This window comes from Homo sapiens, chromosome 20, assembly GCF_000001405.40.
Source record: "Homo sapiens chromosome 20, GRCh38.p14 Primary Assembly".
Lineage (NCBI taxonomy): Eukaryota > Metazoa > Chordata > Mammalia > Primates > Hominidae > Homo > Homo sapiens.
The window spans coordinates 26,035,051-26,056,695 of NC_000020.11; the positions used below are offsets into that span (position 1 = coordinate 26,035,051).

Consider the following 21,645-nt stretch of genomic DNA (forward strand, 5'->3'; position numbering starts at 1 on the left):
CAAAAAAAAAAAAAAAAAAAACAGCCCAGGCGCAGCGCCTGCCACCTGTAATCCCAGCACTTTGGGAATCCGAGATAGGTGGATCACCTCACGACAGGAGTTTGAGACCGGCCTTACCAACAAGGTGAAACCCCATCTCTACTAGAAATAAAAAAATTTACCGGGAGTGGCGGCATGCGCCTGTAATCCCAGCTACTGGGGAGGCTGAGACAGGAGAATTCCTTGAACCCAGGAGGTGGAGATTGCAGTGAGCCAAGATCGCACCACTGCACTCCAACCTGGGCAACTAAGCAAGACTCTGTCTCAAAAAATATATATAAATTTATATTTATATATATAAAATAAATATAAAAAATAAAAATAAATAAAACTACAGTACACCAGTGTGTATCCCTTCATTGTTGGTGGACATGTAGGTTGTGTTCACTTTTGTCAGTTACAAATGATGTTGTTGTGAACATGTTTGTATTTCTATTTGGTTACCATTAGTGTGTATTTATGTACAGTATAAAGCAAGAGGTGAAACCATAGGTTACAGGGTAAACTTATCTTCAGTTTTACTAGGTATTATTCGTTTCATTCCAATGTTAACACACCAACTGACAGTCTTACAATGTGATAATTCTCAAATCTTCGCATTCTTCTTGACACTTAATTTTGTCAAAATTTTAATTTGAGTCTTTTGGTGGGTATGTGGCAATGATTGTGATATTAATTTACTGGGCCTTTTCTTCTCTGTAACAGGCCCTGGCAAGATATATGTGTGGTGTGGCAGGGGTAGGAGCCCCTAGAGGTAGCATGGGCTCTGGAATCCTTAATCATCCTATGTGAAAAAGTTGGTGGGGCAGTGAATATATATATATATATTTTTTTTTTTTTTTGAGACAGAGTTTTGCTCTTGTTGCCCAGGCTGGAGTGCAATGGCACTATCTCAGCTCACTGCAACCTCTGCCTCCCAAGTTCAAGTGATTCTCCTGCCTCAGCCTCCCAAGTAGCTGGGATTAGAAGCATGTGCCACCACACCCAGCTAATTTTTTGTATTTAGTACAGATGGGGTTTCACCATGTTTGTCAGGCTGGTCTTGAACAGCTGACCTCAGGTGATCCACCTGCCTCAGCCTCCTAAAGTGCTGGGATTACAGGCATGCACCACTGCACCCTAATATTTCCTGTGTGCAATGGTGTAGCCAGGGTGCAAAGCCAGTTCTTAATGATTCTGTCATCCAAATATTATATCTTCTTGCTTCCCCTTGAGATATGCTCATTCCTCCGTACAATTAAACAATCTCAATTACTCTTGAAAGAGCATAAAATCCTCCCTGTCATGGGTCCTTCCAAATTATTTGTTGGCTTGTGTTTAAAATATAAAAAAGAGAATGTAGATTTTGTTTTCTTCTTTCTGCTTAACCTGAACAAAATGTCATAGGTACCTCCTAGCCTGTTGGTAAATCGAGAGTCACTTGAATAATGAACAAGAGTGGAGGGAAACCACATGGATAATTTATCATTACACTATCATCACATACATGGAACTCATTAATGAAGTTTACAAAAAAAAATTGAGTCATTTGTGGAAAAGTGTAAAGAGAATATAGGAGATGTCTCAAGTGAAGAGAAAAAAGCTGCAGAAAATAATTACAAAAAAAGAGTGTTAAGATGTAAACACAAATTCAGAGATTCAGGAGCATGAAGGGCTAAGTTAAGGGAAAAAAGAGTTATCAATATTTTCTTATTCATTTTGGAGAGCAGGATGAATTCTTAAAAGGTCAAATAATTGTGAGTCTGATATATCTGATGATAATTTGTATTTTGTATTTCTAATGTTGTAAATGGTTGTTAATTTACAGTCATTATTTCTATTTCCTTTAGACTAGTGACCATGAGTTTGACTGACAATAACCCATTGGGTTAGTATTGTTATCTACGTGTGTTCATCATGCTATGTGTTAAAACAAGTCCATCAATTTTTGTCTTGTGTTTGTTTTCATTTAATTTTAGTTTAGTTTCTTTGGGACAGGGTCTCACTGTCACCCAGGCTGGAAGTGCGGTGGCATGATCACAGCTCACTGCAGCCTCTACATCTCCAGGCTCAGGTGATCCTCCTACCTCAGCCTCCCAAGTAGCAGGGACTACAGACATGAGCCACCACACAGTGGCTAATTTTTGTATTTTTTGTAGAGACAGTGTTTTGATATGTTGCTCAGGCTGGTCTCAAACTCTTGGACTCAAGTGATCTGCCCACCTTGGCCTCCCAAATTGCTGGGAGGACTGGCATGTACCACTGTCCCGGCCTGTTTTCATTTTATTAATTGGCTGATTCATTCAGACACATAATTATCAAGTCAAATCTCACTCTTTCTTTAGCATTTCCCTTCAGTTTAGCTGAGAAAATCTATTCTTATTTTAAAACATATACAATTATTCAAGTGTGGTGGCACACGTCTGTAATCCCAGCTACTCAGGAGGCTGAGGCAGGAGTATCACTTGAACCCGGGAGTGATATAGTGATTATATGTAGTATATAACTATATAGTGATTATAGTTTATAATTTTAACTATATCATGTCTCCTGCCTCATAAGTACCACTGGACAAGGTCCCTTTTATGTATTCAGCTTCTGTCAGAGGTAAATGTATTTTGAAGTGGAGAACAAAGATAAGTGCAAAATTGGCATGGAGAACTAACGTAATTATGAAAGTTCCAGATACAAAGAGAGAGGGCTCAATATGCCAGCAGTTCTCTACCAATCCATCCTAGCGGTCTTCTTTTAGGATTGCCTAAATAATTCAGGAGATAAGTGCAAGACACACAAGTGTTCCAGAAGCATGTAAACAAGGTACAGAGAAGAGGATAAGATAAAGTAAGATAAGAATATTAGGAATGTCTTGTTCAGAAGATTGCCTACAGAGGCAAAAGGGACAGTTTCATTTTGCTGAGGGAAACAGGGTGGTAAGAACACTCCTGGGGAAGACCCCCACTTACCCTGATACAGAAAGAAGGTGTAAAATAACGTAATGGGAGAGCATTAGGCTGAGATAGCTCCCATGGCCAGGGTTCCTACATAGAAAAAATGAAACAAGCTTAGCCCATCAACAAGTGGCCCGCTGAGTATTAGCTGTGTAATGAGAGACCTACCACCAGGATAGTTCAAATAATGCAACTGCCCAAATTTTTGCCAATCAAATAATTTCTCTACCCTACTTCTATATTCACCCTATAAAAGCCTTCCTTACAAACACCTCCAGTAGATCCTCCAACCACTTTCAGTTTGGAGCTGCCTGATCCATGAATCTCTGTTTGCTCAAATAAACTCTTTAAAATTTTAATGTGCTTAAGTTTATCAATTTTTTTTCTCATTTTTAAAAATTGAGATGGGATCTTCCTATGTTGTCCAGGCTGGTCTTAAACTCCTGAACTCAAGGAATCCTCCTGCCTCAGCCTCCTGAGTAGCTGGAATTATAGACGTGTGCCTCCACACCCAGCTTACATTTATCTTTAAACAAGGGTTTGACCCCTTTCTGAAATATATTTCTCTGAAGACCTGTACCCTCAGTGATATGGGAGGCTCATTTTAGACCATTGGGCACTTTTGTCTCCGGACCACAATTTGCCCTTTGTGACCTGCTCTACTAAGAAATTCAAGTGTAATTCAAATTAGTTTACCATCTGCTGATCAGGGGAGATTGCTCTGGGTGCAAGTTCAAGACAGGCACTCACATCTTCATTCGTACCCCAAATCTCAGCATCACACAATACATCCATGTAATAAACCTGCACAGGTACCCTCCAGAATCTAAAATGAAAGTTGAAATTCATTAAAATTTTAATTTCATCTTATTACAAAACAAAGATACATTTACTTCTTTCCAATTTTGATATATATTATACTGACATACACACTGTATTCTATGGTGAATTATACTGATTGAATTTCACATTTTGAACTAACACTGAATTACTTTGAAAAACTCTACTGGGTCATAATGTATTATGTTTTTAATATATTTTAATACAATTTGCAAAAATTCTGTTTTAAAATTACCTCTCTGTTCCATAAATAAATAAATATGTAAAAAAAATAAATGTTTGTATTATTCAAGTGAAGATTATAGCAATAATTTTGAATATCTACTTAACCTCAACTAGTTTTAATTCAGAAGTAGCAACTCCATAAAAATTCAACTTATTACTACCTTATTACTCATACTTGTCTCCTTGAAGAAGTTCATTGTTATCATCCAGTTTAGACTGGGATGTCATAAATCTCTAGACTGAGTAGTATAATATTCACTGTTCAAAAAAAATCAAATTATTATTATAATGTTATGACACCTCCAAATACAAAAAGCAAGCCCATGGATGTCAGGTTAAGGTATAGAGGCAAGTATTCCTACTTACTATCTTTTAGGGCAGACATATCCCAGCCAAGCTGATTGCAAAATGAAATGGAAACCATATGGTGGAAGGGGACTTGGGACTCACACAGATTGGATTTTCATTCCAACCCTTACATACACAAGCTGCATGACTCTGGGTAGATTGCATATTCTCTTAGAGTTTCAATTTCCTCATCTGTGCAATGACACTTAATGCCTATGGGCTATGGCTGATGTGGGGATAAAAGAACCAACACGGATGCATGGGCAGGGCCTGGTCCATAGGGCAGCTGGCATCAACAAATGGAAGCCCCTTCCCATCTTGTCTTTGCATGTACTACAAAATCCGGAATATGTGGGTATAAAAAGTACTCTTAAAAGAGACATAATTGGAAGCTTTTGCAAAAAGAGATTGGAAAGGTGTCACATCTTGTAGCATGAGGAGTTGTGGGCATACAGTTGAACTTTGTGCTGTGAGATATCCACAGAACTTCAGTAGTTTAAGAGAACAGTTTAGATATCATCTTATTCATCTACCATAGAACTTCCTCCTCTTTTCTGAGATTTCTAGACAGTAACTTTTACAGCTCTAATAATGCAGTTCTCTCCCAATTGTTTGGACTATTCTAATAGACACAAAGCAGTATTTCACCAGCAGATGCTACTGCAGTTTCTATGATGATTTCAAACTGAGAATCCATTTAAACTTATGCAATACTTTTTTTGGAAATAGGGTGAAAGTATTTTAAGTTTAAAATCCTATAAAATAGGTTTACAGTAAATAATTACTTGTTGCAATATCTATCATACTATCTTATATTCACACATGTATTGGAGTCCTAATACATATGTATGAGAGTGAAAGTTACCTGAGGTCAGAGACTGTGCCATATGTTCCCTGCACCACTGGTGCCTATCTCAGCACATGATATACAGTAGATGCTCAATAAATACTTTCCCTAAAAAGCGCACTAAGAATAAATTTGATTAGACATCAAAATACATATGAGTACAATCTAGGGACATGGTCAGGAGCTCAAAATTCAATCTTATTTATTTTTTATTTGGAGACAGAATCTCACTCTGTTGCTCAGGCTGGAGTTCAGTGGCATGATCTCAGCTTACTGCAACCTTCCTTTCCTGGGTTCAAGTGATTCCCCTGCCTCAGCCTCCAGATTAGCTGGGATTACAGGTGCACACCAACACGCCCAGCTAATTTTTTTGTATTTTTAGTAGACACAGGGTTTCACCATATTGGCCAGGCTGGTCTCAAACTCCTGAGCTCAAGCAATCTGTCCACCTTGGTCTCCCAAAATGCTGGGATTACATGTGTCAGCCACCATGCACAACCACAAAATGTTTTAAAGTAGCTTCAAAACCCCTTTGCAAATAGGTGTATTCATAACAAGATGCAAACAAGAAAACATTGAGCTTCATATAATAGAAGGGTTCTGCCTGGATTTGCATGTGGCCCCATCATTTGTTTGCTGTTGGGCCATGGTCATGTTACTTAGCTGCTCTCTGCCTCCACATAGGTTTTAGGCCTGTGCATCCCTCATCTACAAAATGGGAATAATAAGAATATCTGACAATTAGACGTGTAGAAAATATATGTAAAGGCCTTTGAAAAGAGCTTGTGAAAGCTCAATAATTGTCCCCAATAATTGCTCTCAATAATTGTCAGCTATCATTCCATAATAAGCGTAATCATAAAAATGTTTGACTCAAAGAAAGATTCCGACTTCATATCCAGCTTCCCAAAAGAATATCAGACATAGGACCTGTGAAAGGAATGACATTGAGATGTATTTTCACATCGCTAAGTTGGTTTTTTCTCTTTGTCATTCAATTTCTGCAGTCCCTACTCTAAGCCCATGGTCCACCTTTTTATTTTTCCTCCTAAAATGTCTTCCCTTCTCATAAGATTTACTTTTCCTAAAAAGGGCCCTTTTCATCCACCCACTCTTTTGCCCTTCCCAGAAGTTGGTTAATGGGGACAAAAATACAGTTAGATGGAAGGAACAGAATTTCTAGTGTTCAAAAGCACAGTAGGGTGATGATCATTAACAATAACTTATATATTTCAAAATGACTAGAGGAAAGATGTGGAATGTTCTCAACACAAATAAATGATAAATGTTTAAGTTGATGGATATGCACATTATCCTGATTTGATGACTACACATTGTATGCATGTATCAAAATATCACATGTACCCTAGAAATATGTATAATTGTCATGTATCAATAAAAATAAAAAGGCCTATTTCTCTTTCCTTCCTCCCCGTATTTCCTACAAAGTGGATTTTAGTAACAATCTTGAGTCATCACAGAAGCTAATGAAGTTGGGGATTCCACGAATCCATCCAAGCATATAAAGCCCATTTCCCGGGGTCCCTTTTCCTTAGCTCAAGGCCACAAAAAATCAGAACTTGAATTCCAGCCCACATTTGCCTTATGTCTACATAATTATGAGTTGTAAATGAAGCTAACAATTAGTTAAATATGTTCTATTCTCCTACTTTGATAAATATACACCCATAATAACCCACAAGGTCAAAGTCGAGTGTAGAATTCTCTGATTTCTTGGTGCTCTGCACAGGATTGTGGTAGTAAAGGGAGAGCCGATCCTCAGCCCCAGGCTAAACTTTTTTCTTTCATCGTAGGTAGCCCTGTCCTCACTTGAGAAGCTTTGCATACCCCTGTGTGGGGGACTCCCTAGGCCCCGTGCAAGCTCCATCCACAATTCTCACCCCATTCAGACAGCAGAAAGCCTCTGGTGCACAAGGGGGCACCATTTGGACAAGCAGTTTGCGCTTTGAAATGAACCTAGGGAAGAGGCCATGCAGGCTCAGGCACATTTCATCAGGGGCCTGAGTGCCCAGCGTGTGCCCTAGAAGAGAGGGTGAAGCTCTGGGTGGGCCAGGGTACAGTCAGTGGAGGGCCAGAGAGGCACCTTCTCAAGTACAGGATTCAGGGCAGGGGTCCTCTTGCCCAGATCGATGGCTACCATTGCTTAGTGCAATGGCGCCTGCGTCATGTCTTCTCAGCTCACCTTTCATTCAGTCTCAGCCACCGTGGGAAGTTCCACTGAAGCGCAGGCTTCCCTTGTGCTGCCAGCAAACTCAAGCTCCACTTTCTGCCCTAGGGCATCTCCATTATTGTAGGATTTTGTCTGAGCATAAATACAGCCCAGAAACACTTGCAAGTTAACAGCCTCAGGGGAAGACCTCAACCAGTGTGGGACAGGTGGACAAATGCTCCAGGCTCATGTTTCAGGTGAACAGTTCTGGATAACTTTCCGGAACCTCTTGGAAGGTCCTGAAGAAAAAACACCATGGCAGGAGCCTCAATAACATGCCATTATTTTGGTTTTTCTTTCTTTCCTGGCTCACTCTTCCCACTTCTGACTCTTGCTTCTTGGAATCACTTCCCAAATAAACCACCCACACCCAAGTCCTTACTCCAGCTCTGCTTCTAGGGATACAGGCACACCTTGGAGATATTGCAGGTTTGGTTCTAGGTAACCACAATAAGGGGAATATCACAACAGCGCAAGTCACACGAAACTTTTTGCAAGTCACACGAAATGTTTTGCTTTCTGGTGTATATAAAAGTTATGTTGCCAGGCATGGTGGCTCACGCCTGTAATCACAGCACATTGGGAGGCCGAGGCGGGTGCATCACCTGAGGTCAGAATTTCGAGACCAGCCTGGCCAACATGGTGAAACCCTGTGTCTACCGGAAATACAAAAATGGTGGTGCACTCCTGTAGTCCCAGCTACTCAGGAGGCTGAGGCAGGAGAATTGTTTGAACCTGGGAGGCAGAGTTTGCAGTAAGCCAAGATCGCACCACTGCACTCCAACCTGGGCAACAGAGCCAGATGCCATCTCAAAAAAAGAAGTTATGTTTAAGCTACTGTAATCAATTAAGTGTGCAATAGCATTATGTCTAAAATATAATGTATATACCTTACTTTGAAAATACGTGATTGCCAAAAAATGCTAACCATCATCTAGGCCTTCAGCAAGTCATCACCATTTTGCTGCTGGATGGTTTTGTCTCAATGTTGATAGCTACTGACTGATCCGGGTGGTGGTTGCTGAGGGCTGGAGAGGGAGTGACAAATTTCTTAAAAGAAGATGACAATGAAGTTTACTTCATTGACTGACTCTTCCTTTCACAAAAGATTTCACTGTAGCATGCTATGCAGTTTGGTAGCATTTTACCCACAGTAGAATTTATATCAAAATTGGAACCAATCCTCTCTAACCCTGCCACTCCTCTATCAACTAAGTTTATAATTATTATATAAGCAAAAATGATATCCCTTGGTTTTTAAAGATAATACAAAGTGGATTTTAGTAACAATCTTGAGCTGTCACAGAAGCTAAAGAAGTTGGGGATTCCATGAAGCCATCCAAGCATATAAAGCCCATTTCCCTGGGTCCGTTTTCCTTAGCTCAAGGCCACAAAAAGTCAGAACGTGAATTCCAGCCCACATTTGCAGTATGTCTAAATAATTATGAGTTATAAATGAAGCTAACAAATAGTTAAATATGTTCTATTCTCCTACTTTGATAAATATACTGTCATAATAACCCACAAGGTCGAAGTTGAGTTTAGAATTCTCTGATTCCTTGGTGCTCTGCACGGGAATGTGGTAGTAAAGGGAGAGCCGATCCTGAGCCCCAGGCTAAACTTTTTTCCATCTAATTCCATTTATTTCCATTAAGATTGCAGCAATTTGGCCGGGCGCGGTGGTTCATGCCTGTAATCCCGGCACTTTGGAAGGCCGAGGTGGAAGGATCATCTGCGGTTGGGAGTACCAGTCCACCCTAACCAACGTGGTGAAACATCGTGTCTACTAAAAATACAAAATCGGCCGGATGCGGTAGCACATGCCTATAATGGCAGCTACTCAGGAGGCTGAGGCAGGAGAATCACTTGAACCCAGTAGGCGGAGGTTGTGGTGAGCCGAGATCGCGCCATTGCACTCCAGCCTTGGCAACAAAACAAAACTCCATCTCAAAAAAAAAAAAAAAAAAAAAAAAGATTGCAGCAATTCACTCACGTCTTCAGGTTCCACTTGTAATTCTAGTTCTCTTGCTATCTTCACCACAACTGTGGTTGCTTCCTCTGCTAAGGTCTTGAACCTCTCAAAGTCATCTATGAGGGTTGGAATCAACTTCTTCCAAACTCCTATTAATGCTGCTATTTTTACCTCCTCTGGTGAATCTTGAATGTTCTTAGTGGCATCTGTCATAGTGAATCCTTTCCAGAAGGTTTCCAATTGACTTTGCCCAGATCCATCAAAGGAATCATGACCTATGGCAGTAACAGCCTTATAAAATATATTTCTCAAATAATAAGACTAGAAAGTCAAAATGATGCCTCAGTCCATGGACTACAGAATAGATGTTGTGTTGGCAGGCATGAAACCAGCATGCGTTTCCCTGTACATCTCCATTAGAGCTCTTTAGTCACCAGGTACATTGTCAAAAAGCTGAAGTATTTGAAATGAATCTTTTTTTCTGAGCTGTAGGTCTCAAAAGTGGGATTAAAATACTCAGTAACCCATGCCGTAAACAGCTCTGATATCATCCAAGTGTTGTTGTTCCATTTATACAGCATGGGTAGAGTAGATTTAGCATAATTCTTTTTTATTTTTTCTTTTATTATTATTATACTTTAAGTTTTAGGGTACATGTGCACAATGTGCAGGTTAGTTACATATGTATACATGTGCCATGCTGGTGTGCTGCACCCATTAACTCGTCATTTAGTATTAGGTATATCTCCTAAAGGTATCCCTCACCCCTCTCCCCACCCCACAACAGTCCCCAGAGTGTGATGTTCCCCTTCCTGTGTCCATGTGTTCTCTTTGTTCAATTCCCAAGTATGAGTGAGAATATGCGGTGTTTGGTATTTTGTTCTTGCTATAGTTTACTGAGAATGATGATTTCCAATTTCATCCATGTCCCTACAAAGGACATGAACTCATCATTTTTTATGGCTGCATAGTATTCCATGGTGTATATGTGCCACATTTTCTTAATCCAGTCTATCATTTTTGGACATTTGGGTTGGTTCCAAGTCTTTGCTATTGTGAATAGTGCCACAATAAACATACGTGTGCATGTGTCTTTATAGCAGCATGATTTATAGTCCTTTGGGTATATACCCAGTAATGGGATGGCTGGGTCAAATGGTATTTCTAGTTCTAGATCCTTGAGGAATGGCTACAGTGTCTTCCACAATGGTTGAACAGGTTTACAGTCCCATCATAGTGTAAAAGTGTTCCTATTCCTCCACATCCTCTCCAGCACCTGCTGTTTCCTGACTTTTTAATGATCGCCCTTCTAACTGGTGTGAGATGGTATCTCATTGTGGTTTTGATTTGCATTTCTCTGATGGCCAGTGATGATGAGCATTTTTTCATGTGTTTTTTGGCTGCATAAATGTCTTCTTTTGAGAAGTGTCTGTTCATGTCCTTTGCCCACTTTTTGATGGGGTTGTTTGTTTTTTTCTTGTAAATTTGTTTGAGTTCATTGTAGATTCTGGATGTTAGCCCTTAGTCAGATGAGTAGGTTGCAAAAATTTTCTCCCATTTTGTAGGTTGCCTGTTCACTCTGATGGTATTTTCTTTTGCTGTGCAGAAGCCCTTTAGTTTAATTAGATCCCATTTGTCAATTTTTGCTTTTGTTGCCATTGCTTTTGGTATTTTAGACATGAAGTCCTTTCCCATGCCTATGTCCTGAATTGTAAAGCCTAGGTTTTCTTCTAGAGTTTTTATGGTTTTAGGTCTAACATTTAAGTCTTTAATCCATCTTTAATTAATTTTTGTATAAGGTGTAAGGAAGGGATCCAGTTTCAGCCTTCTACATATGGCTAGCCAGCTTTCCCAGCACCATTTGTTAAATAGGGAATCCTTTCCCCATTGCTTGTTTTCCTCAAAGATCAGATAGTTGTAGATACGCGGCGATATTTCTGAGGGCTCTGTTCTGTTCCATTGATCTATATCTGTTTTGGTACAAGTACCATGCTGTTTTGGTTACTGTAGCCTTGTAGTATAGTTTGAAGTCAGGTTAGCATGATGCCTCCCGCTTTGTTCTTTTGGCTTAGGATTGACTTGGTGATGCGGGCTCCTTTTTGGTTCCATATAAACTTTAAAGTTGTTTTTTCCAATTCTGTGAAGAAAGTCATTGGTAGCTTGATGGGGATGGCATTGAGTCTGTAAATTACCTTGGGCAGTATGGCCCTTTTCACAATATTGATTCTTCCTACCCATGAGCATGGAATGTTCTTCCATTTGTTTGTATCATCTTTTATTTCATTGAGCAGTGGTTTGTAGCTCTCATTGAAGAACCAAATGCCTTCACGTCCCTTGTAAGTTGGATTCCTAGGTATTTGCTTCTCTTTGAAGCAATTGTGAATGGGAGTTCACTCATGATTTGGCTCTCTGTTTGTCTGTTATTGGTGTATAAGAATGCTTGTGATTTTTGTACATTGATTTTGTATCCTGAGAGTTTGCTGAAGTTGCTTATCAGCTTAAGGAGGTTTTGGGCTGAGACTATGGGGTTTTCTAGATACACAATCTTGTCATCTGCAAACAGGGACAATTTGACTTCCTCTTTTCCTAATTGAATACCCTTTATTTCCTTCTCCTTCCTAATTGCCCTGGCCAGAACTTCCAACACTTTGTTGAATAGGAGTGGTGAGAGAGGACATCACTGTCTTGTGCCAGTTTTCAAAGGGAATGCTTCCAGTCTTTGCCAATTCAGTATGATATTGGCTGTGGGTTTGTCATAGATAGCTCTTATTATTTTGAGATATGTCCATTCAATACCTAATTTATTGAGAGTTTTTTGCATGAATAGTTGTTGAATTTTTTCAAAGGCCTTTTCTGCATCTATTGAGATAATCATATGGTTTTTGTTTTTGGTTCTGTTTATATGCTGGATTAATTCTTAAGAGGTGCCCTAGGATTTATGGAATAGCAAATGTGCATTGGCTTGTAACAAGAAAGTCAGCCTGTCCTTTAAATCCTTTTTTTATTTTATATAAAGTCTCACTCCATTACCCAGGCTGGATTGCAGTGGCATGATCTTGGACCACTCCATACTTGACCTCCTTGGCTCCACAATCCTCCCACCTCAGCCTCCTGAGTAGCTGGGACTAGTAGCATGCACCACCATACATGGCTTATTTTCATTTATTTATTTATTTATTTATTTATTTATTTTTTGTTAGAGACAGGGTTTCACCATGTTGCCCAGGCTGGTCTCAAGCTCCTAAGCTCAAGCCATTCTCCCACTTCAGCCTCACAGAGTGCTGGGATTACAGGTGTGATCCACCGTGTCTGGCCTCTAAATTCGTGTTATGGAGACTCCTTTTCATGGTTAAAATGTCCTGAATTGACTGTGGCCTGTTGGGAGTCGGGATGGAGGAAATTACTTATGGAAAATGAAGAAGAAAGGGAAGCACACCAGAAGAATATGTCATCAATTTTTACATCAAGGACTCCAAGATAAAGAGAAAGTACAGGTGGCCTGTTATCATGGCTGACCATTGGACTGTGGACTGCACCTGAATCTACCAGGTTCTTCTGGGTAGTCCCAGTATTAAATTTTTGACCTGATAATCATGAACACAGTGCTACTGGTCAGACCTTTGTCCAGGTTTAAGCTTCAGAACATAATGTCTTCATGCAGTGGGAGGCCTGATTAGCGTTATGATTCTGCCCTGGGGCATCTGCCCCTTCTGACATGGAGGTAAACTTGGCATCTGCTACTTACCTCTACACTTGAACAGGCAAGGATGGGCTGAGCACAGAGGCTCACATCTGTAACTCCAGCACTTTGGGAAGTCAAGGCAGGAGGATCGCTTAAGGCCAGGAGTTCAAGACCAGCCTGGGCAGTATAGTGAGACCTCATCTCTGTAAAAACAAACAAACAAAACCGAGGATGGGTGGGTGACAGGGAGCAGTTCAACATGGGAAACCATTAATCTGAGAGCTGGAAGGACCCTTAGACCATCCCCCCATTAACAGATGAGACTCTGCCCTGAGATTATAGCCTAAAGCAATGCATTGAGCTTTTCTAGAGATTTGAAAATAATCAATCCTAAAACCCCCAAGCATACTGCTACTGTTTGCTGTTGGATAATGTTTTCTAGTCTGGGTGTGGTGGCTCCTGCCTGTAAACCCAACACTTTTGAAGGTCGAGGCAAGTGGATCACCTGAGGTCAGGAGTTCGAAACCAGCCTGGCCAACATGGTGAATCCACGTCTCTACAAAAATACAAAAAATTAGCAGGCCATCGTGGTGTGTGCCAGTAATCCCAGCTGCTTGGGAGGCTGAGGCAGGAGAATCCTTTGAACATGGGAGGCAGACATTGCAGTGAGCCGAGATCACACCATCGCACTCCAGCCTGGGCTACAAGAGTCAAATTCCATCTCAAAAATAATAATGATAATAATAATGTTTTCTACAAGCAAGGAGTTACTTAGTACTGTGAACCGGTGTGAAGGGATTTGCCATGTGTCAGCTTTTGGATTCATGACAGTTATTTCTAGATAACAGAGGTGGGAATGTTTGTTGATCATCTTCTATGTTCTTTGTTATATTGATTGATTTTTTAAAATTAGCATTTTTATAACAATAAAGTCATAAAAATAAGTAACTAAAATAAAGTAAAGTAATCTAAAAAGGCTGAGTGTGGTGGCTCATGCCTATAGTCCCAGCACTTTGGGAGGCCAAGATGGGTGGATCCCCTGAGGTCAGGAGTTCGAGACCAGCCTGACCAACATGGTGAAACCCCATCTCTACTGAAAATACAAAACTTAGCCAGACGTGGTGGCAGACACTTGTAATCCCAGCTACTCCAGAGGCTGAGGCAGGAGAATTGCTTGAACCAAGGAGAAGGTGCTTGCAGTGAGCTGAGATTGTGCCATTGCACTCCAGCCTGGGTGACAAGAGCTAAACTCCATCTCAAAACAAAACAGAACAAAAATCTAAATGTAATTGAGTTGAATATTTAAACTTTTAATTGACATTTCATATTAGATTCTAATTCCATTTAAAAGAGCATCTCGTAGAAGCAAATGAACTCAATTATATTAACTCTGTGGTTTCATTTAAGCAATTTGTTTTGTGAAGGGACACAAATCCAACCAGATTTTAACGGTGTATAAATATGTATTTATTAATTTAATTACTACGACAGTACTCTCAACTCCCCATTTGAATAAAGGAGAGCATCGGATCTGTGTTCTGGGACAGCGTGCACTATAGGTGTGTGGAAATACCGATGCCCTCAGCTGTGTGGCAGGCTCAGTGGGACCTGGAGTGCAGGAGCCCCTGGGCCATTCACCTCTGGCCACAAAAGTCATTGTCCATTTACCCCAAACTGCTATAGAAAGATTATTTTCAGTGGCTGTTATGATGCAAAAGAAAAGAAGCAGGGAGATTTATTAAACTTTTACATATAAGATATGTTAGTAAATAAAGTCTACTTTCTTCTGGCTTAACTAAAAATCTATACTAGTATTTATGCCTTTTGGAACTTAGAGATGCCAATTTAAAAATTAGGAAGCAAAACAACTGAGTATTGGATAAGACAGCCAAGTACAACTGCAGAATTGTAGAGGTTATGGGTTACATGTATAAGAATATTTCATAGCAATAATCTTTTAAGACTCTGTGAAGACACTCCACAGTGAAGCAGAAATTAGAACAGAATTAATAATACTGTGTATGCTCTCAGTTCACCAATTATTTATCAAAACTAGCTTTATGATACAGGAGGGTGTCTGCTCTTTTGCAGTTGGAAGAAAAGAAAGAATATTTTATTTTTTTGAGTCTTTAGATTTTCTTCACTAACAGTATTTCCAAGGCTAAGTAAGGGGGTTGCAAGTAACACCAAGAGAAAAAAGCAGTCTTGAGCAACTTTTTAAAAATGGTCTTAAAATATGGAAAATGGAGCCAGGTGTGGTGGCTCACTCTTGTGATCCCAGCACTATGGGAACCTGAGGGGGGAGGATTGCTTGAGGCCAAAAGTTTGAGACCAGCCTGGGCAGCATAGCAAGATCTCCATCATTGCAAAAAATAATATTTTTTTAAAAAATTAGCTGGATGTGGTGGTGCATGCCTTAGAGTCCCAGTTACTTGGAAGGCTGAGGTAGGAGGAGCTCTTGAGTCCAGGAGTTCAAGTGTGAAGTAAACTGTGATTGCACCACTGTCCTCAAGCCTGGGCAACAAAGTGAGACCTCTCTCTCTCTCTCTCTCTCTAGATATATATATATGGAAAAGAGAAGGTCCAAGAATATCAAAGACATTGAAGAAGAGGAAAGATTTGTCCTGCCAAATATCAGAACTTTTATAAAGCTACAGCAATTAAGACAGTGTGGTCCTCACTGATAAACTGACTAATGAAACAGAATAGAGAGCTCCCAAGCAAATCTCTACAAATTTAATCTTCGATACGTGATGTAGGTGACATGGCAGATCAGTAAGGAAAGAAAGGACTTTTCAATAAATAGAATAGAAAAATAATGGTTATTGATATAAGAAACAAAATGAAATTATATTCCTACTTCACTCTATATACAAACATTAAATTCCAGAGGACCAAAGACTTACATGTCAGAAACAAAACTTTAAAACTTTTAGTAGAAAATGTAAGTGAATGGGACACAAAAAGCCATTTAACCATTAAAAAAGATTAGACATTTTGACTATCACAAAATTAAGAACTTTTTACATCAAAAAGTGGAAAGATAGGCTGGTCACAGTGTCTCAATCCTGTAATCCCAATAGTATATCACCTGAGGTCAGGAGTTTGAGAGCAGGCTGGCCAACATGGTGAAACCCCATCTCTACTAAAAATACAAGAAATTAGCTGGGCATCAGTGGCAGACACCTGTAGTCCAAGCTACTTGGGAAGCTGAGGCATGAGAATCATCTCAACCCAGGAGGTGGAGGTTGCAGTGAGCCACTGCACTCCAGCCTGAATGACAGAGCCAGACTCTGTCTCAAAAACAAAAAAATTGAAATTAAAAAATAAAAGTAAAAAAGTCAAAAGATAAACTATAAATTAGAGAAGATATTTGCAGTACCTAAAACCTATGAAAGATTAATATCATATCAACTAAGCATAAGGAGCTCCTATGAATTAATTTTAAAAATAGCAACCCAACAGAAAATTGGGAAAAGACATTAATAGGGATTTCACAAAAGAGAAAGCTTGCAAAACATAAAAATTTTCTCAACCTCATTAGTAATCAGGGAAATGCACAAGATACTACACACCTATTCTCTCCACAAATATTAAGAAGTTTGACAATACCAAATGTATTAGTCCATATTCACACTGCTGATAAAGACATACCCGAGACAGGGAAGAAAAAGAGGCTTAAATGGATTAAGGGTTCCACATAGCTGAGGAGGCCTCAGAGTTATGGCGGTGGATGAACAGCACTTCTTACATGGCAGTGGCAAGAGAATATGAGAAGGAGGCAAAAGAAGCAAAAGACGAAACCACTAACCCATCAGATCTTGTGAGATTTATTCACTATCACAAGAATAGCATGGGAAAGACCAGCCCCAAAGATTCAACTACCTCCCCCTGATTCCCTCCCCGAACACATGGGAATCCTGAGCAGTACAATTCAAGTTGAGATGTGGGTAGGGACATAGTCAAACCATATTATTCTGCTCCTGGCCCCTCCAAATCTCATGTCCTCACACTTCAAATCCGATCATGCCTTCCCAACAGTCCCCCAAAGTCTTAACTCATTTCAGCATTAACCCAAATGTCCCCTGTCCAAAGTCTCATCTGAGACAAGGCAAGTCTCTTCTGCCTATGACCCTGTAAAATCCAAATCAAGCTAGTTACTTCCTAGATACAATCGGGGTACAGGTAATTGAGTAAATACAGCTGTTCCAAATGGGAGTAATTGGCCAAAAAAAAGGGGTTACAGGCCCCATGCAAGTCCAAAATCCAGCAAGGTAATCAAATTTTAAAGCTCCAAAATGATCTCCTTTGACTCCCTGTTTCACATCATGGTCATGCTGATACAAGAGGTGGGCTCCCACAGCCTTGTGTAGTTCTGCCCCTGTGGCTTTGTAGGGTATAGTCCACCTCGTGGCTGTTTTCATGGACTGATGTTGAGTGTCCATAGCTTTTCCAGGCTCATGGTGCAAGCTGTCAGTGAATCTACCATTCTGGGGTCTGGAGGAGAGTGGCCCTCTCCTCACAGCTCCACTAGGAAGTTCCCCAGTAAGGACTCTGTAGAGAGGCTCTGACCCCACATTTCTCTTCTGCAGAGCCCTAGCAGAGGTTCTCCATCAGAGCACCACCCCTGCAGCAAACTTCTGCTTGGATATCCAGATGTTTTCAAACATCCTCTGAAATCTAGGTGGAGGTTTCCAAACCTCAATTCTTGACTTCTATGCATGTGCAGGCTGAACACAACGTGGAAGCTGCCAAGGCTTGGTGTTTGCACTCTCAAGGCCATGGCCTGAGTTCTATGTTGGCCCCTTTCAGCCATGGCTGGAGGGGCTGAAACGCAGAGAAACAAGGCCCTAGGCTACACACAGCACAGTGAACCTGGCCCAGCCCAGAAATCCATTTTATCCTCCTAGGCCCCGGGCTTGTGATGGGAGGGGCTGCTGTGATGACCTATGACATGTCCTGTAGACATTTTCCCCATTGTTTTTGGGATTAACATTCAGCTTCTTGTTACTTATGCAAATTTCTGCAGACACCTTGAATTTATCCTCAGAAAATGGGATTTTCTTCTCTATCACATTGTCAGGCTGCAAATTTTCCAAAACTGTATGCTCTGCTTCCTTTATAAAACCGAAGGCCTTTAACATCACCCGAGTCACCTCTTGAATGCTTTATTGCTTAGAAATTTCTTCCAGCAGATACCCTAAATTATCACTCTCAAGTTCAAAGTTCCACAAATCTCTAGGACAGAGGCAAAATGCTGCCATTCTCTTTGCTAAAACATAACGAGAGTTACCTTTGCTCCAGTTCACAACAAGTTCCTCATCTCCATCTGAGACCACCTCAGCCTGGACCTTATTGTTCAAAACACTATCAGCATTTTTGTCAAAGTCATTCAGCAAGTCTCTAGGAGGTTCCAAAGTTTCCCACATTTTCCAGTGTTCTACTGAGCCCTCCAAACTGTTCCAACCTCTGCCTGTTACCAAGTTTCAAAGTTGCTTGCACATTTTTGGGTACTTTTTTAAGGAGCACCTCACTCCACTGGTATCAATTTACTGTATTAGTCTGCTTTCACCCTGCTGATAAAGACATACTCAAGTCTGAGAAGAAAAAGAGGTGTAAAGAAAAAGAACTGTAATTGGATTTACAGTCCCAAATGGTGAGGGGGGCCTCAGAATCATGGCAGGAGGTAAAAGGCCTTCTTACATGGCAGCAGCAAGAGAAAATGAGGAGGAAGCCAAAGCAGAAACTCCTGATAAACCCATCATATCTCATGAGACTTATTCACTATCATGAGAATAGCACAGGAAAGACTGGCCTCCGTGATTCAATTACCTCACCCTGGGTCCCTCCCATAACATGTGGGAATTCTGGGAGATAGAATTCAAGCTGAGATTTGGGTGTGGTCACAGCCAAACCATATCACCAAATATGGAGAGACTGTGGATCAACAAGATCATCTCAAACTAATACAGGAGGTGAGAGTTTAAATTAGAACAACCACTTTGGAAAGCAATTTGGATTATCTTATAAGTTTGAGCATTCTCATATGTTATGGCAAAGTAATTCCTCTACCATAGGCCCTGGAGAAACTCTTGCCCATATGTACCAGAGGTAGTAAAAAAAAAAAAACGCTCATGTAATTCCATTCATAATAGCGAATATATGGAAACAAGCCAGATTTTCATTAATAGGAGAATGGGTAAATTAATAGGATAATGGGTAAATAAATTATACCCTTAAAAACTAAATAATATATCATTTAAGGTAATCATATGTATGAAATAAACAATGTTTTTTTTTTAAAGGAAGAGAATCCTAAACATAAATTCAGGGTAGTAGTTACCCTCGGGCTGAAGGGTGAAAATCAGGAAAAAGGACAGAGGAGGAGCAGATGTTAGGGTCAGAACCCTGGTTCTTTGGTTGTGTTGTAAGTTCACAAGTGATTACCATATTATTCAAATACATTTACACAGAGGCCCAGGCACAGACAAGGATGAAATAGGAGCCAAGGTATGCTATGAGCCAAGGATTATGAGTAATCCAGTTTTGTGCACTTTAAGCCATTTGAAAAACAGAAAAGCAAAACAACAAAATAATTTTTAAGAAATTGAATATAGGGTGTTATGCTCTGAATGTGTCCCCCTAAAATTAATCACCAATGTCATAAGATTAGGAAGTAGGGCTTTAAGGTAGTGATTCAGTCATGAAGGGAGAGTGTTCACGAATGAGTTTAGGATCCTTACACAAGGACTGGATGGAGTGGGCTTCCCCTGTTTTGCCCTTCCACCTTCTGCCATGTGAGGACACAGTGCATCTCCTCCTGAAGACACAGTGCACAAGATACCATCTTGGATGCAGAGACCAGACCCTCACCAGACACCAATCCTGCTGGCACCTTGATCTTGGACTTCTAGCCTATGGAACTGTGAGAAATACATTTCTGTTCTTCAGAAATTACCCAGCCTAGTGTATTTTCTATATAGTAGTACAAACTCATTAAGGCACAATTCCTCTTGTCATTTTCTTCTACAATTTTCTTTGTTGCCTCTTTAGCACTGGGTCATTTTATATTTGATCCTTCATAATATCTCTTACTTTTGGTTTTTCACATTTCTGTTCCAAATGTATTCTTAGATACATATTTTCCACTATTAGCCTCAGGGTTTGCCTGGGAGTGTGTATTTCTGTGCCACCGCTGTAGGACTGTGTGTGTGTGTGTGTCTCCCATTCTCTCTTCTCTCTCTGTCTCTCACCCTCTGTGTGTTTCTTTCCCTCTCTCTGTCGGTCTGTGTGTGTGTGTTTGTGTGCGTATGCCCGTGTGCGTGTGTGTCTTTGGACGAATGTGCTCTGTTCGCCAAAATGCAATTTTTTGCATGTTGGCCAGTCTTTGGTGAGCCTCTTTCTGCATCTCTGCCTGGGTCCTGTGGCCGGTTGTCCATCGTTTTCACGGCGGTTCCACTTTGGGTTTGTGAAGGCCTTGATCACTTGAGGAGACGCGTCGGTCCCAGAGCAATCAAAGTCTCATCCGCATCCTGAGCGGCTTCTTTTCTAGGATCAAGAGGACCACACTCCAGCCCAGGACAAAACCCCACAGCAGCTCATTGTCCGGCAGGAGAGGAGAAGACCCACCTCCAAGAAGATGGTTGTACCCCTGCACGGCTCTTCTCTGAGCAATGAAGCCACACCACCATACAATTCTGAAGAGGAAGCCGGGAATGGGAGACGGCAACAATCCCTGTCCCTGGAATGCTGGCCTCTCTGGACAAGTCACGCGTTTCGCACCCCTCCCCTTATGCCCGTGGCAGTGGCAAGGTTCTGTAACCTGCCTGGGCTCTGGCCTCTGCTCTGTCCTCCCTCTTGCCCGGTCTCCCCTGTTTCTGAGGGGACTAGTTGCCTCTTGGTCTGGCTGAATAACTTCTACGAAGATCGCTTCCCAGTCCATCAGGGAGACACTTCCTGTAGATCCTTGTCATGACTCCTTCTCTCTCCAAACCTGTTTCTGCTGGATTGGGCAGGTCTGATGAGCCTGGAACACTTGGCTTCCACACGTGTCTCAGACAGAGAAGCTTCCTTAGTCTCCTTGTTTCACCTCATGGGTGGGTGGATTGTCTAGAATGAGTGCTAGGCGATCATGACTGGCCTTGTCTTCTAGGACAGATGGTGTCCCATTACCTCTGCACGTCCTGTCTCACAAATGAGGGATATCCTCTCCTCTGCTCGTAGGTGGACTGACTCCCTGAATCTTTTTTCTGTAACGAATGTCATGAAACCAAAGGAACAGGGCTGGGCCTGGGGATGGGGTTGCGGCTGGGTGCAGGGGAGGTTGCGTCAGGGCTACCTGGGCGGTGGAGGCTTCGGGGTGGGGTGAATGTTGCAGAGAACTCCTTGCTCCTCTGGCAGGCATTTCAAAATGTGGCTTGGACTGAGGCACAGGCCTCCTCCTTGTTCGCAGGTGTTCTTTGATTTTCCTTGGCATTCAGGGAAAAGCCACTTGATCCGCCTTTCCACCAGGCACATGCGTGGACACTAATGTTG

General features: G+C 41.1%; 1 long non-coding RNA gene across 1 annotated transcript in view; it reads left to right on the forward strand.

Annotated features, from left to right (window-relative positions):
- The first annotated feature begins 19,563 nt into the window (after window positions 1-19,563).
- FAM182A (family with sequence similarity 182 member A) overlaps window positions 19,564-21,645 on the forward strand; it is a 32,304-nt gene continuing 30,222 nt past the window's right edge. Inside the window, exon 1 of the long non-coding RNA NR_026713.1 lies at window positions 19,564-20,035. This is a non-coding gene — a long non-coding RNA (family with sequence similarity 182 member A). The remainder of the gene's footprint in view (window positions 20,036-21,645) is intronic.